The sequence below is a fragment of the Homo sapiens genome, chromosome 4, assembly GCF_000001405.40.
Source record: "Homo sapiens chromosome 4, GRCh38.p14 Primary Assembly".
NCBI lineage: Eukaryota > Metazoa > Chordata > Mammalia > Primates > Hominidae > Homo > Homo sapiens.
Window position 1 is genome coordinate 185,524,402 of NC_000004.12, and position 16,441 is coordinate 185,540,842.

The following is a 16,441-nucleotide window of genomic DNA, read 5'->3' on the forward strand; positions in this document are numbered from 1 at the left end:
TATTATCATGGTTCAGTTTTGGATCAGGGATCTGATGGCAAGAGATCAGGCTCAATTTCTTAGTGTTTTTGGGGGGTGGGGTCAGAAACATCTCAGTATTTCACATGCCCACGTGCATATGCACTCTCACACCTGTAACATTCTTCTGGGCTGAATTCTGTACAAAACAGCCAATGGCAGACAGGATATTAGCAACCAGTTTTAATATAATTACAGTCAGGCAAGTCAAGAGATTATTTCAGGGGAATCTCTCCATTCCATTCCATTCCATTCCATTCTCTACCACACTGAGAACAGTGATATAACTAGTTGTGTTGTTCAGTGTTTATGTGGCTAATAGTTCTATTTTCATAGTTAATTAACCGGGTTATTACTGGAACAAATTCTTTTAGCCTCTTTTATTATTCTAACATTCCAGAGAATCCTTTTTAGAAATGATTTGTCAACAACTGCTAGATTGACTGACTTTAGTAAAGAATTAAGTAGCTAATATATAAAAAGTCAGCCAAAATACTAGGTCTGTGGCCCTCCTTGCTGGGAGGATGAAGTTATTTATAGTTCTGGTTCAGGTTCTCCTGCAAAACAGATCAGATTTAAGCACCATTAGTTAAGAAGCACCTGTCAATTTTGAGACACAGCTGGTGAGCTGCTGCTTTAATCCTGTCCTGCGCATCAGCATGAGTCATGGACTCTGTCCCAAAGCCGTCAATAGCCAGGATGACATCTCCAGGACACAGGTTGGCAGCTGCCGCCTTGCTTCCTGGTGTAATCTGGAAGAAATCATGGCACTATTTAAAAACCAACATCCCGCAGTATCTTGAGTTTTGTGCCTGACATTTGTGTTTCAGCCTGGTAACATTTTAAATGTTTAATTGGGCAGAAAGACTGTAAATCTAACTAAAGATAACTCTTAGTTGGTCAGTTGAGTTAGGTCTATTTTCTCATCCTGCTGAATGATTTTGTTTCTTACTAACCACATTTCATATCCTTGTATCTGTTACTCTCTTTTAAAACATCTTACATAATTCCCAGTGTGAATCATACATTTTTTTGTTTTAAAAAATTATTTTTTATTTTTCATCACCCAGAAGTCTCTATTTGGGAATAGAGTTTTACTATATTTAGGCATCTTTTACATTCAGGTTGAAACTGCTTTCAATCCAAATATAGCAATCCTTACTATTTATCATCTTTAAAATTCACGTAAGAGGCATGCAATGGACTTTTTATCTCCCCCCAAAACTCAAATGTTGAAATCCTAACCACAATGTGATGGTATTTGGAGGAGGGACTTTTGGGGGGTAATTAGGTCAGAAGTGAGGAGCCCTCATGAATGGGATTAGTGCCCTTATGAAAAAGGCCTCAGAGAGAGCTCTCAGCTCTCTTGCCTCCAATAAGGAGGAAACAATAACAAGTGAGGTGTCTGCAACCCAGAAGAGTTTCCTCACCAGAACCCAACCATGCTGGTATCCTAACCTTGGATTTCCGGTCTCCAGAACAGTGAGAAATAAATTTATGTTACTTATAAGCCACCCAGTCTATTGCACTTTGTTTAGAAATCTGTAGAGACTAACAAGAAGAGGCCAGATAATACACAAAATTATAACTTCTCTTGAACCCTTCAGAGAGCTAAAGTCACAGGGCAATAAACTTGAAATCTAAGGAAAGACAGGTGCCTTCAAGCAAAGGCAAGACATGAGCACAGGCTCACCTGCATGGAGCAGGGCATGGAGGAAGATGGGGCTCCCATACTAGCTGTTATGAAGAATTCAGCTAAAATTATTAACAAATTGCTAAAGATCCAGTGTGAGTTAACATGAGCGTACAGAACTCCCGGAAACCAGAGACAAAGGAAGTTTGTATTCACTCATGGTCTCTTCTCCACGAATGAAGGACAGATGAAACCAAACTAGCAAGACAGTAGATTTTAATTAAACCATAGCAGCAATTACATTAAATGTAAATCATCTAAACACATCACTTAAAAAACAGAGACTATCAAACTAGGTGAAGAAGTGAGATCCAATTTTATGCTGTCCACATGTTTTTCAGGGGCAGGAATAAAAGAAATACTTAAGAATACAGAATATGGGAAAAATATGGTTTCCCATAATTTAAAATATTTAAAAATAGGAAGTTTGTAATTATTACTGTTGAATATTCAGTTAAAGTCAATGATTCTTTTGACCAGTATACCTACTCCCAATTTTTCTGGGCAAATCCCAACTATACACCTCTGTCTAGACCTCACATGGGTCTTACCTTGCCTACTTCTCTCATATCATCTTACATTATTCCTGCTCTCCCTCATCCATGGTGCTGTGGCCATTCTGATTTCCTTTTAGTTCCTCATGTAGGCCAAGCTTGTGCCCTTTCTGGGGGTTCTCATGCACTCTTATTTCTGCCTGAAATGCTTCCCTTACTCTTCACTCCTTCTCAACCTTTAGGTCTAGGTTCAAATGCTGCACTCTCAGAAAGACTTCGCCAAACATCTGAAGTAGCTTCTCTAGTCCTCCCCTCATCATTTTTCACCATTACATCCTATTTCCTTAATGAAAGTTATTTGTACTTTTATGTTTGTTTATTTACTCGTGTATTGTCTGTCTTCCCAACTAGACTGGATGCTCTTGAGGATATGTACAATATGATGTATATTTTTAATACTTCACAGTGTATACCCCAGTATTTAGAATAATTGAAGAATCAATTAAAAAGCATTTGTCAGAGCTTATATAAAAAAGAACTAGTCCCTATATACCCAAAGATTATGGCTTTTAATGTCAACTTGTCATTGCTATGTTTGTGAGTTTCTATTAGAGCAGAACAATACATACTACTATCAAATCTCAAACTGCTCCAGGAAGAAACTAGATTATTTCTAATGCTTTATTTAGGGATCAGTAATTCATTTGCTTTTTCTTTATTTGCTTATTCTAGCTATCTAATTGCGGTTCTAAGGAAGATACAAGTTCATCTGAATAAATAAAAATTGCTAAAATAATAAGTTGTCTTGTGTCCTGGATCTTCTGTCTCATTACTAAAATGTTTATTGTACTCACTTTATTTCTATGATCACCTCACTGTAGCTATCACAATGATTTCCCAGTAGGAACAGTTAATAGAAGCTGGGTGAAGACAACTGGGGATTATTATATCTTAGCCTTTGGGAGGCATTTCATAGCCGTTTTCCATTTAGAAACATTCTCAGACCCAGAACTGTTAGTAGAACAAAAGTTTCCATCCCCAAAGTGACTTGTAAGGATAAAAATAATCTTAAACTTTTAATTTTCTCTCATTTGTCAAAATCAGTATTTTCTATTTTTAAATGTCTAAGACTAGAATAATTTTCTTTGAGTTAAAACACAGGGCCAGGCATGATGCCTCATGCCTGTAATCCCAGTGCTTTGGGAGGCTGAGGTGGAAGGATTGCTTGAGGCTAGGAGTTTGAGACCAGCCTGGGCAAAATAGCAGGACCCTGTCTCTACAAAAAAATATATTTTTAAAAAGCTAGGCATAATGGTGCACACCTGTAGTCCCAGCTGCTCAGGAGGCTGAGGGAGGAGGACTGCTTGAGCCCAGGAGTTTGAGGCCACAGAGAGCTATGATTGCACCACTGCACGCCAGCCTGGGCAACAGAGGTAGACCTCCTCCTCTCACCAAAAACAAAACAAAACAAACAAACAAACAAACAAAACACACAAGCAGGTGTATCTCAACATATTTGCTTTTAGAGCCTAACTTAGCTTTTCTAATATACCTTAATAGAGTTAAGTTATGTAATACTCAATTCTGATTTGGAAAAGTCTAACTTTTCTTTTAGCTCTGGTTAGGATGAGTGTAAGGTGGGATGAGTGGGGGTTTGTTTCTGCATGTGTCCACACTAATTTTAAACACACATCTGAACAATAGCTTTTCATTATCTAAGTCCAATATCTATTGATATCTAGAGCCATACCCCTGATATTGGACTTAGATAATGAATAACTATTGGATATCTAAGTTGAATATCTTAGATACTGAATATTACTAAAATTTACTAACAATATTAATACTAAATAATACCATCTTATACTTATGCAAAATGTTACATTTGCAAAGCTCCTTCTCACACGTTTGACCATTACAACTCTCTAAGACAGGCTGGACAAGGAAAACTGGCTCTGGCTTTCAGAGGAGAAGAGGTGTCTAAGTAACCTGCGGCTTTGCTGCTGAGCAGCTGTACAGCTATGTCACCAGCTCCTTCAGAAGTCAGCTAGGACAGGTGGTTGATAGTGATGGCCAGATCCCACTTCTCATTTTGTATTCAACCTGGTTATTGCTGTCCTGAGACCTCTAAGGAGACAGTTGATGAGAAAAAGGAAATAGAGAGAGGAATGAGAGAGAAGGAGAAAACATGATGTCTTTACTTTTTCCTCGTTTTCAAGTTCAGCGAGCCCAGTGATCAGAAAATGACTGCGAAATTGGCCTGATTTTACTAAGTTAAACGATCTGTTTTCCCTGCATTACTTTATATTATTACTTTATTGCATTATTATATTCTTTCCTTATTATATTACTTTGTATTAGCATGCACAGTTTATTACTGTTTTCCCAAATTAGAAGAGAGAGCTGAAATGAGGCATAGTGTTTGTCAGCGGATTATTTTTTATTTAGGTTCATTAGGGTCTCAAATATCAAAAGTACCAGAGAGATCATTGAACACGGTACTGCAGTGAATCACTTAGCACCATGTTTTCAAACTTGTGTGATTATAAGAATCACCTGGGGCCCTTGCTGAACGTTAAAGGCTCCAGTCCTATTCCAGATGCTCGGAATCAGGAACAGAATCTCTAGGAGAGGAGCCAGGGAATTTATGCTTTCAACAAGCGCCTCAGATGATTTCTGTTATTCACATCAACTTATATTACTTGGATCTGTTGGGGAAAAAAAAGCTAACTGAAAACACAGATAAAGCATCTATAATGTCCTATTTATGTGGAGACGTAAGGCAAGCCCAAGACATGGTCCTGAGATGATGTTTCTGTTAATAAAAACGACTGAAATAGTTATGGAGCAAGACAAGCACACACTGAAGCACTGCACGGTAGGCACGGACCAAAATCATGAGAAACCCCATTGTTCATTCTCCATCCCTAGCAAATAGACTCCGCGTGCCTCCTTGGCATCCACAGCCCTGCAGCACCTGCCTGCCAAAGACATTTCTAGAGCCACACCCCACACCGGTTATATTAGAATCTCTGCATGCACCTGGGCATGGCTGTGTTCAGAAGTCACATGGGCGGCTTTAACATGCTGCCAGGGCTGGGAACCATCACCGTATTACTATTGAGAACTATTATCTCACATAATTCTTAAGACAATCTTACAACATAGTTATCTCTTTTTTAAAATGAGAAAATGGATGCTTGGAAAGTATAAGAAGCTTGGTTAGGGTCCCACATCCCGAGAAAACCTGAAATTCCCATCTGGGTCCGCCTCGCTCTATAGCTCAGAATCTTCTATCATCTCGCATTGCCTCTCCTGCAGGTAATCTTTCCTTCAACACCTCCTAGCTCTTTGACCATACTTTTCTTGTGGAATTCTGGATAGGTTGTGTGATGGCAGTTCATATACATGTTCCTTTTTTTCTGCTGATATATTATCTTCTCAGGGGTTAGAAGCCCATCTAAGCCACAGTTATATGCCCACAGTGTCTTTCACATACGAGACATTCTGCACACAGTAGATGCTTGTGGGATGTATGAGTTACACATGAACCAGTACTTCCACGTAGACACGGTCTGTGTTAGAACAAAATTGAACAGGTTTTTATTTACATCAACCTTTCCACTACATTTGTGTTTTACCCTGGAAAAGAATTGCATTCCATTGCAAACAGTCCTTTCTAAAAGTTTAAACTTCAAATGTAGTTTATATTACATGAAATTTCAAAAGTAGTTTATGTTAAAGTCATACACTGTTCTATCTTAAAGCCTGTACAAATTAGGAACACACTAACTTTTTCTATATTGGTACTCAAGCTCATATAGCATTCTCAGTTATAATAATCTTGATCTTGGATGTGCTCTGCATAGGAAGGAGGGAGGAGTGAAGAGGGGGAAGACATTTTAGTGAGAAAAGACACACTGGCATCAGATATAGACAATCATTTTATATCATGTACACAAAAGAAGCTTGCCCTGTACACTAGCCTCCCCTTATTCACGGTTTTATTTTCTGCAGTTTCAGTTATCCGAGACCAACTGCAGCCTACAAATAGTAATTGGAATATTTGAGAAGTAAACAACTCATAAGTGTTAAATTGCAGCTGTGCTGAGTAGCGCGATGAAGTCTTACTCTGTCCCACCTGGGTCATGGATCATCCCTTTGTCCAGCGTATCCACCTTGTCTATGCTGCACTCTTCACCTGTAAATCACTTCGAAGTCTTAGTTATCAGATCGGCTGTCACAGTATTGCAGTGCTTGGGTTCAAGCAACCCTTATTTCACTTAATAATGGCCCCAAAGTGCAAGAGCGCTGTGCCCAAGTTATAAATTAAACTTTATCATAGGTATGCATGCATAGAAACACACACACACACACACACATACACACACACACACACACACACACACGTATATATATATAGGGTTTGGTACTAATGTAGGTTTTAGGCAACCATTGGGGGTCTTGGAATGTGTCCCCTGTGGATGAGAGGGGATTACTATATTCCATATTGAAATCTTGTCAAAGCAAACGATTTGCAACTTGTCTGTGAGAGTAGATCTAGCTTCTGGATGGTCCAAAAACTTAGACTCTTTAGAAGCTTCTTATAAAAAGAAAAGATGCTCACTTGAAGAAGTGAACCTTCAAATTCTTCTGTGAAATGCTTAGGCCAGTTATACACGGTGTTTAACAACTCCCTCCCCTAAACTGAACATCCAAAACTGAAATTTTATATTGCACAAGGTCTATCACACTTATTGCCTAGAAACTGCTTTCCTAAAAATTGTGTTTATCACAACCAGTTGCTAAAAATTTGTTTTGAGAATGTCTGGTGTTTGATTTACCTTACTTTTGATTTTTTTATAATACAAAGATTCATCTGGCTATTTGGATTGTAAACAATTACGGGCATGAGGGCCCTGTGTCCTAATTTTGTGAACTGTAATTTCAATTGATGGAGGCAGTCATATTTGTCACTCTCCTACAAACTCTGGTTGGAGCCCCATTGTCTAGCAGTATTGCTGTCGTCTGTATTTGTATAGTGTGAGGCGGGGAGTGAAGGGTATAGCTTGTAGGAGGACAAAAGCTGATTTAATGGGGACTCGATTAAACACATCTCGTTTATGGGACTTTTTGTGGCTTTAAGTGTAGATATTGGTATTTCAATTCTTTGTATATTAAGAACTTATTTAAAACTGACACATCAGCCAGGCGTGGTGGCTCACGACTGTAATCACTTTGGGAAGCTGAGGTGGGCGGATCGCCTGAGGTCAGGAGTTTGAGAGTAGCCTGGCCAACATGGTGAAACCCTATCTCTACTAAAAAAAAAAAAAAAAAAAAAATTAGCTGGGTATGGTGGCGGGTGCTTGTAGTCCCAGCTACTTGGAAGGCTGAGGCAGGAGAATCGCTTGAACCCAGGAGGCAGAGGTTGCAGTGAGGCGAGATCGCGCCACTGCACTCCAGCCTGGGAGACAGAGCGAGACTCTGTCTCAACAAAACAAAACAAAAACATGACAAATCAACTCACAATAAAACAATTCTCACTTATCTTTTTGTGAAATATTTTTGAGAACACATTCTATACCTATTTATAATAAAGTCATGTAAAAAGGGAACAATCTAGTCAATCATTCATACCGTGTCTATATTTATTCTACAACACATATGCTCTACTAGGCACTGTGCTAGGCCCTGAATGGCCCCCAGATTAGAAGGTTTCTGCCTTCGGGGAATGTGCAATCTGGTGGGATACAGATGCAGTGGAACATCTGGTACAGGCATGACATAAGGAGGGGTTATACAGGCCGAAAGCTACAGTAATCAACCGGATGAGATGGTTGTTACTGAAAGAAGGCTTGGGGAGAGGCATTTGAGTGGTTTCCACAGGCACAGAGGACAGTGGTGTGGTGTGGGGAAAAATGGTATCAGGAGCAAAGACACGTCAGGGAAATCGTAAGTAGTCCAGAGGGCGGTACCACTGCCTACGTGTGGAACAAGGGGAGGAAAGGGAGAGACAACAAAGGGAGAGGAAAGAAATGAAGTTAGCAACTCAAATTGGGATAGGAGATGGTGAAAAGTCATGAATGTTGTGCAAAGACACGCATTTCACTCTCTACAAACAAGTGATGCCGCTGAAGGATTTTTAAGAATGAGAAAGGAGCAATTTGGCATTTTCCAGAGACGGTAAGAATATGCTGTGTGAATTGGACGGGGGAGCCAAATGTCTAGGCGTGGAGCTAGGAAATCTTGAAGAGGGACAGTAGTAGAAAAAATGGAAAGTGGCAGATGTTGAAGACAGCATCAATAAGGCCAGTGATGAACAGGATGGCACAAAACAACTCTTTAGAAATATTGGAACAGGTGTCCATTTTCACATGTGGCCTTCAGAATGCAGGCTTTGGAGGCACACAGACCTAGCGTCAGAGCCTGTCCCACTGCTTGTGATCATCGGCGGGTTAATAAATCTTTTGAAGCCTCATTCTCCTCATTTGCAAAAGGGGATGTCACTACTGCTACTCTCCTAAAGATTATTGTGAGATTTCAGTGAGTTCGTGCACATAAAAGGTTCCCATCAATGCCTGGCAAGCAAGAGAGTACAATAACACACTTACAACCTCACACACTGCCTTTCAAAATGGTGTTAAAATGTTAAAAGCAGTACAACAATTCACCATTTAACAATACTGATAGTTATTTTTCTGTAATACTTTTCTGTAATACTTTTTATTCTTTTCCTTAACAAATTTCAATATTCTTATCATTTCAGTGAAAATATTCTGAATTAGGTGTTCACTAAAGCATAAAAGTTCTTATTGAATAAATAAATGTTCTTATTTATTCAATAAGAATCTACTATATACCTGGCTTTGGGGACACTTGGGATACAAAAATGATTTGGTTTTACCTGCTGTCCTAGAATTAATTAAAGAGAAAAGCCATAATCAAGTGAAATCATATTTGGTCATAAACTGTTATTGAACCAAATGTCAAAAATGAGTGATACAAATTAGTTATGAGTTAGGAATTCCAGATAGAATTGGTTTCCCTAATAATAACTGCCATTATATCAAATATATTTACCAATAGCTATTGTAGTCCAACTCTGGAATGTAAGTACTGCTTTAAAATAAACATTTATAATGTCAACAACTCAAAATTTCAAGCATATGATTAATTATATTGACATACGATTATACTATAATAGCAAAATATTTCTTTTATAAACACCTTAAAAGTTTTCGTGACAAAATTATTTTGGTTAGAATTTAATATAAATATGATTTATTCTGTGTTAGGATTCAAAAGCTTATTCAATTTAAATAAAAACCATACTCCAGAAACTAAAACATTTCTTAGTAGATATAACGGAAACTGTTTTTGTTGGTAAATCTATAATAGGAATTGCTTGGCCCAGGTCACTGAAGCATTTTCTGCTTACTTTACTTAGGAACGTTTTTGGGGGTATGTTGAACAGTTTTCATGTTTCATATAAAAACACGTCAGATGTGTTTATATGTTTTTGAAAAATGTAAAACAAGGCTTGAAACGTTCCATTGTATGCGTCTGTAGGATACACATTTTGACATATTTTTAAAAGGATGTTGGTTCCCAAATCTCATAGGCATATATAAATAAAACAGAATTTAAAAGGTATTACCTTGTTCAAAATCTGTATGAGCAGATCAATCAGATTATAACACATACAATTATAAAATATGGCATGAGAAGAATACAAGAAAATAAAGTATAATACTCTGCAACTAAAAGTATAATATTCTGGAAGTTTACGCCTTTAGGTATTAAATGTTTTATATGTGATAACTGAAATAATACATTAATTTTCTATGAAGAAAAACATTGTGTTAGAAAAAAACCAGCTAGACCAAATAATGCTTTAGAATTAATTCTACAAATTTACTGACAGGAGAGAAACCCTGAGGTTTTATTTTTACCTTGTTTTCTCATTAGACAGTAGAGAACACCAAGTAAAGCTTGACTTTGACATTAAAGCATTATTTTCCGTTTTAGGCTGAGTGGTTTACTTTGCATCAGGTAAACTAAACTGTCTGCCACGTTTTCTTTGTAGCTAGAGTTAGAAGTTGGTAATTCCTAAGCCAAGTTCTCAGCTTTGGAAAACGTGCTCAAAATGCCTGGAAACTGAGGAGTGAGCATTAGGAAGACTTCCCCTGTCTGGGCTGATAGGAGCGGCTCCAGTTTGGCCAACGCAGGTCGTGCCCCGCGAACAGCGCGCTGCTGAACTTTTCATCCGGACGAGAAAAACGCTCAGATGCGCGCCAGCTCCAGGGAATGCCGGGGGGTGCCAGTCCCTCGCCTCTCCCACCCGGGACCCATCATTTGTTACGGAAGGGCGATGGGGTGTGTTTTATTTCTGTTATCACATATAAAACATTTAAAACCTAAAGGGGAGGAGGCACTCGAGCCTGGCAGCCTCGCCTTCCCTGAGCCCAGTGGCTCTCCTCGGAAAGTCGCTGCGGACCCAGAGGATGGGACACCTTTAGAGCGGACTTTGTCAAATCTCTGAGCCGCTCCGCAGCCACTTGACGGAGTTGCCGCCGCCCCCGGAGCTGGGCGCCGAAGCCCGGGAGCCAGCAGCGCCCCGTCCGCCCGCCCTCGCGCGCTTTCTGGCCGCCCTCGGCCCCGGGGCATCCACTGCGTCCCCCCGGACGCCGCCGGAGTCCCCACCTCGCAGCAAAAGCAAGAATGCCGACACCTACCCTGGTGATGACCAAAGGCTGGTTGAAGTCTATGCCCCCTGAGAGCCTGAAGCCCCAGGGCGCAGGGCCCGGGAGGATCACCGTCTGGGGCATGCCGCCTTCCTCCCGCCCACCGGGCTCTAAGTGTCCCCGCGCAGGGCAGCCACTCCGCGCCGGGCGGCGTCCTGGCCCCGACCCGGGCGGGGGCGCTTTATCCCCGCTGGGGGTGACGTCACCGCCCCGCCGTCCTCCCCGCCCCCTCCCACCCCGGAGAGCTCCAACTTTGGAAGCGAGAGCCGCGCCAGCCCCGCGGGAGTGCGCAGCCCGGCCGGCTGGGGCAGCCTCCCGGGCCGCGGCGGGCGCGGGGGCTTCGGGTTACAGCGTCCGTCGCTCTCTTGAAGTCACACCTGTCTCCCTGTTTATCTTCTGCTTGGAGCGCAGCAGTGCACTTTGTTGGAAGCGAAAGCAGCCAGACCACAGCCTCCATGCTTTCAATTAAAACGAGCATCATCGATACAATAAGTTATTTAGCAGTTTCGAGTGCGTTAATATTTACTTACGACCTCTGCGGCTTTGGCCAAATTACTTAATGTCCTTTTAAATTTTTATTTTATTTATTTATTTTTCTTAGAGACCGGGTCTCCACTTTGTTGCCCAGGCTAGTCTTGAACTCCTGGGCTCAAACAATCTTCCCACCTCAGCCTCCCAAAGTGCAGGAGAGTCTGGCCGGGGTCCTGTGGTAGTCTCAGTGTGGACTCAAGTATTTCTGGTGTTACGCGTTGGGATGTTGTGATTCCCAAAGGGAGAGGGGAGAATGAGGGAAGAGAAATAAGAAATGCTTTAAACACTCAAGAATAAGGGTCTTGGACTTAATGCCCCATATGATAGGGTCGTATTGGTCCAGGAGGACAGAGCTGCAGCAGACTTTTAAGAGGGCAGTCTGTTTGGAAGCAGTTTTAAGACTGATGGAGGAAAGAGAAAGGAGATGCAGAAAGCAGTAAGCAGTAAGCAGTAAGCAAAGCGAACCAGCCTGGGCAAATGTAAATCACAAAGGTAGGATGGGCATTACTTTGTCCGCTGTGGTGGATTACATAAAAGTCCCAGGGGATAAGCACTTTCTAGCTCCACACATTTCCCAGTGCCCCATCTATGCTGGACCATCGAGGAGCTGAACATTGTGTGTCCTGCTGACTGCCTGTTTGGGCTGTGGCTGTATCACTGCAGAGCACATTTCTTCAGTCAGCTGCTGGCTCTGTCTGCGTGGTGCAGACATACACGTGCACACACACAGAGGTCCATTCAGAAAAAAAAAATCAGACAAGTCATTTGGTGTTGTGTAATTATAGTAATTGTTTTTACCTTACTTCACGAGCTGGCTTATATAAACAGCTGATTTTTTCTTTGCCTTTTTGCTGGTCATTTTGGCATCATTTAGATGTAGCCAATATCTATACAATATCCACATAATATCTGATGAGTTCTTTCTTTTTGTTTTTTTTTTTTTTTTTTGGAGACAGAGTCTTAATCTGTCACCCAGGCTTGATGAGTTCCTAAGGCTTTGCAGAGAGTGTGGAAAGCAGGGACATGAGATGGGCAGTTTTCCTACATCCTGCTCTTCACGGAGACCAGCAGGAAAGTGCTCAGAAGTGACTGTTAAGGTAGAGGTGAGACTAGCTGGGAGGGAGAATTCTAAGGAAGAAGCACTGGCTGCATCCTAAATGGTCCTAGAAAATCCTGCTTTGGGTTTGGGTACTGTTCTAAGAAGAGGTTCTTTTTGCATGACTTTGATTTTTTTTTAAGTTTACTTATTTATTTATTGAGATGGAGTCTCACTCTGTCGCCCAGGCTGGAGTGCAGTGGCACAATCTCGGCTCACTGCAAGCTCCGCCTCCCGGGTTCAGGCCATTCTCCTGCCTCAGCCTCCAGAGTAGCTGGGACTACAGGCGCCCGCCACCACGCCCGGCTAATTTTTTGTATTTTTAGTAGAGACGGGGTTTCACCGTGTTAGCCAGGATGGTCTCGATCTCCTGACCTCGTGATCCACCCGCCTCGGCCTCCCAAAGTGCTGGGATTACAGGCGTGAGCCACCGCGCCCGGCCTCATTTGTTTTTTTCTTTGGAAACGGGGACAGTGTTAATAAGAATGAAGTAATCAACTCTCCTTGGGGTGTGTGTCCAGGTTCTAGAGGAAGGGGTGTCAGAGGTGGACCTTGAAGGGTAAGAGAATGTTGCAAGTGGCTGGAGTTGGGAGGGGCACAGGAGGGAGGACATTCAAGGCAGAAGAACTGTATAGGATGTGCCGTCACAGGGAGGGAAGAAACTGATGACCCATTAGGAAATAGCAAGTAATGTGGTATGGATAGAGCCTAGCCCATTGGGTAGAGACAGGAGACAAGGATCACAGTAGTCAGTGGCCATATTAGTAGAGAGGATTTCATACGTTACAATAAGGTTTTGACTATTGAGAGCCTTTGAAGAATTGTAAGCAACATGAATAATAATCAAATTTGCATTTACAAGCATCATTCTGGGAGGTGGGAGGCTGAAGCACAATTGAAGGAGATAACCCAGGGCGTCCCATGAACAATTACTGCAACAATCCAGTGGAGGATATCGATTGGGGCAATGAGGATGGAGCAGAGTGGGCAGATATGGGAATCACATAGGGGTTAATTGGCACAATCTGGGGACAAATCTCACATGGGGGATTAGGAGTGGTTAGGAGATTTGGATGGCTCCCAGACTTCCCCGTTGGATTTTACATGAATGGTGGAATTATGAACAAGGAGAAAATGTGTAAGAAATACAACAAGCTATTTTTGTTTTAATTAGGGAATGGTGGGTTAGAGCACCATTTTGGCCGTGCTGATTTTGACACCTGTAGAATATCTGTGCCATATAGTGTACTGGTTAAAAGACTAAAAGATTTGGAGCCAGACTGCCAGTCTGGATATTCTAGATCCATTGTATTTGCTGTGTGATCTTAAGGCAAGTTATTTACCATCTTTGTTAAAATGGTGATAGTGATAGTATTTGCCTCCTAGAGTTACTGTGCAGTTTACCTGAGTTAATAACAAAATACCTGAAGTGTGCTTGGCACACGCTTTATACATGTAATCATTGGCTATTATTATTATAAGCAATTGGAGATATAAATCTAGAGATCTGGGCTTGAGATGAAGATTTTGGAATTATAGTAGAATCTATGGCTATAAGTTAGACATTTTTTAAAAAGTGGTTGCAAATCCTTTGACACTCTTCAAGAAATGGAGGCTATGTCTTCTCTCCTTGAACTTGCATAGAGGTGTGACTCTTATATTACTAATGAAATGAGGTGAGACTTCTGAGGCTAGGTCAGGAAAAGCAATGCAGCTGCTGCCTTGCTGATTGTAACACTTGTGTCTAATGCCTGGTTGCCGTGTAAGAGCTCTGAGGTGCCACGCTGTGGGGAAGCCCGGGCTGCATGAGGAGGTCACATATTGGTACTATTATTGGTAACCCCAGACTAGGCACCAGACCTGTGAGAAAAGATTCTTCTTTCCAGTGTGTCTTAGCCAGTTCAGGCTGCTATGGCAAAATACCATAGATTGCATGGCTTAAACAAAAGGCTTTCATTTCTCACAGTTCTGGAGCCTTAGAGGTCCAAGATCAAGGTGCAGGTAGATTGAGAACCTGGTGAGGCCCCTCTCCCTCATTTGCAGATGGCTGCCTTCTTGCTGTGTCCTTGAGAGAAAGCTCTATTTAATCCCTTCTTCTTCTTAAAAGGACACAGATCTCATCATGGGGGTTTCACCTTCATGACCTTATCTAAACCTAATTACATCCCAAAGGCCCCACTGCCTAATACCATCACACTGGGGATTAGGGTTTCAACATACGAATTTTTTGGGGGGACACAAACATTCAGTTCACGACACAGTCTCCATCCAGTCCTTACATCCCTCTCAGCCTCTGAGTCCTCTCAGCTCAGGCTGCAGACATTGTGGGGCAGAGAGGAGTCACCCTCACTGTGCTCTTTCTGATTTGCTGACCCGTAGCATCTGTGAGCATAATAAAATGGTTGTTTTCAGCTTCTAAATTTGAGGATCATTTGTTACACGGTAATAGTAATAGATACCAGATGAAATCACCCAAGGAGATTAGCTATGCAAGGGGAGAAGACAGACATTGAATGATTGAACCTTGAGGAACAGCAGCATTTAAGGGGCAGGAAAATAAGGGGACCAGAGAAGATGATTTTTCTCTTACAAAACATTTAAAGAAAACCATGAAAGTGACAGCGTGGAAGACAGGTGAGGAGAAAAATTCAAAGAGTGAAGGCAAATATCACAGAGAGGTGCAGGTAAAGTTGTAATGATAGGTGCTTGTTAGATTTGCTCATTCTCGAGTTACTGGAGTCTTAGGGCAGAGTCAACAGAATGATGAGGACAGAGGCAGCCTGCTGTGGTCTGAAGATAATGGGTGGAGACAAGAATACGGAAAATCTTTCCAAAGAATTTGTTTATAAAAGGGAAGGAGAGACCCAGGACGGTCAGCTGAGGCAGTGCACATCAAGAGAAATGGCTTTTAAAAAATTAGGATGCAAGGGTTTGCTGAAGTCAGAGAAGATGCTGAGAAAACAGAGAGGGGATAGGGATGGAGCAAGGGCCGGGCATTGATGAGCGGTGGAAATGCACGTCTCCAGGATGACACACCCCTTTTCTTCTGAGAATGGTTGGAGTTCTGTAAATTGAGGTGTGTTAGCTGTACAATAACAGATGATCTAGTCCTGTAGTTCATTGAAAACCTCCCTGCCTGCTTTAGGCCTTCGGGGACTTCACCTCTTGTTGGCGGCAAGTGTTCTGAGATTGCTTCCCTGCCAACAATCTTTCCTGTGCTTTCTACCTCACAGACTTATGCCAGATGGAGACGCTGTCACTCTTCGGGTCGGGGACCTATGCTAGCACTTCATTGCCCTGGGATAGAGCAAAAATCTGCTAATGAAGGGCTTGGAGGGCCTTTCATCATCTGTAAACATGTGCCGTGGACGCTCTTCAGGTTTGTCTCTATGTCACACAACAGTCATTGCAAAGGCTGGCCGGGGGTTCTGGCTTCTCTTCCCAGGTTTTTTATACTTTAACATTTTAAAACTTTCTTTTTCTTTCTTCCTTCCTTCCTCGTTTTCCTTCCCTACCTCCTTTTCTTTCTTCCTGTCTTTAAGGGAAGAGTAGATATCTGTTTATATCTTGGGTTCCCTTAGCCAGCTAAATTTTTTTGTGCATTAAAAGAGCATTGGTGGTTATTAGAAATGCAAATTCTTGGGCTCCATGCTCAGGAGATTTGAATTCAGTTGCCGAGGACAAAATCCACTGTGGGTGGTCTGTGGACCACACATTAAGAAACAGTAATTCCAGTCAACACATAGGATTAGACTTTCTTATACTGTATCTTTTTATGTGCTGCTCCTCCTTTCTGGAATGTTCTCTTTTGTCTATCACATCTCACCCTCTTTCCCCATTTCCTGGGAAGATTGACCATCTGTAG

The 16,441-nt window shown here is 41.7% G+C and overlaps 1 protein-coding gene across 7 annotated transcripts in view; it reads right to left on the reverse strand.

Annotated features, from left to right (window-relative positions):
- The window catches only part of PDLIM3 (PDZ and LIM domain 3), a 34,848-nt gene extending 23,742 nt beyond the window's left edge, over positions 1-11,106 (reverse strand). For 6 of the 7 annotated variants that reach the window (NR_047562.2, NM_001257962.2, NM_014476.6 and 3 more), the window contains exons 1-2: positions 10,941-11,106; positions 619-770 (exon numbers count right to left, since the gene is read on the reverse strand). Coding sequence is in view for 6 of the 7 variants with exons in the window: in NM_001257962.2 (NP_001244891.1) it covers positions 619-770; positions 10,941-11,033 (245 nt within the window). In the remaining variant the exon portion in view is untranslated. The remainder of the gene's footprint in view (positions 1-618; positions 771-10,940) is intronic. The other variant, NM_001257963.2, reaches the window with a different exon arrangement.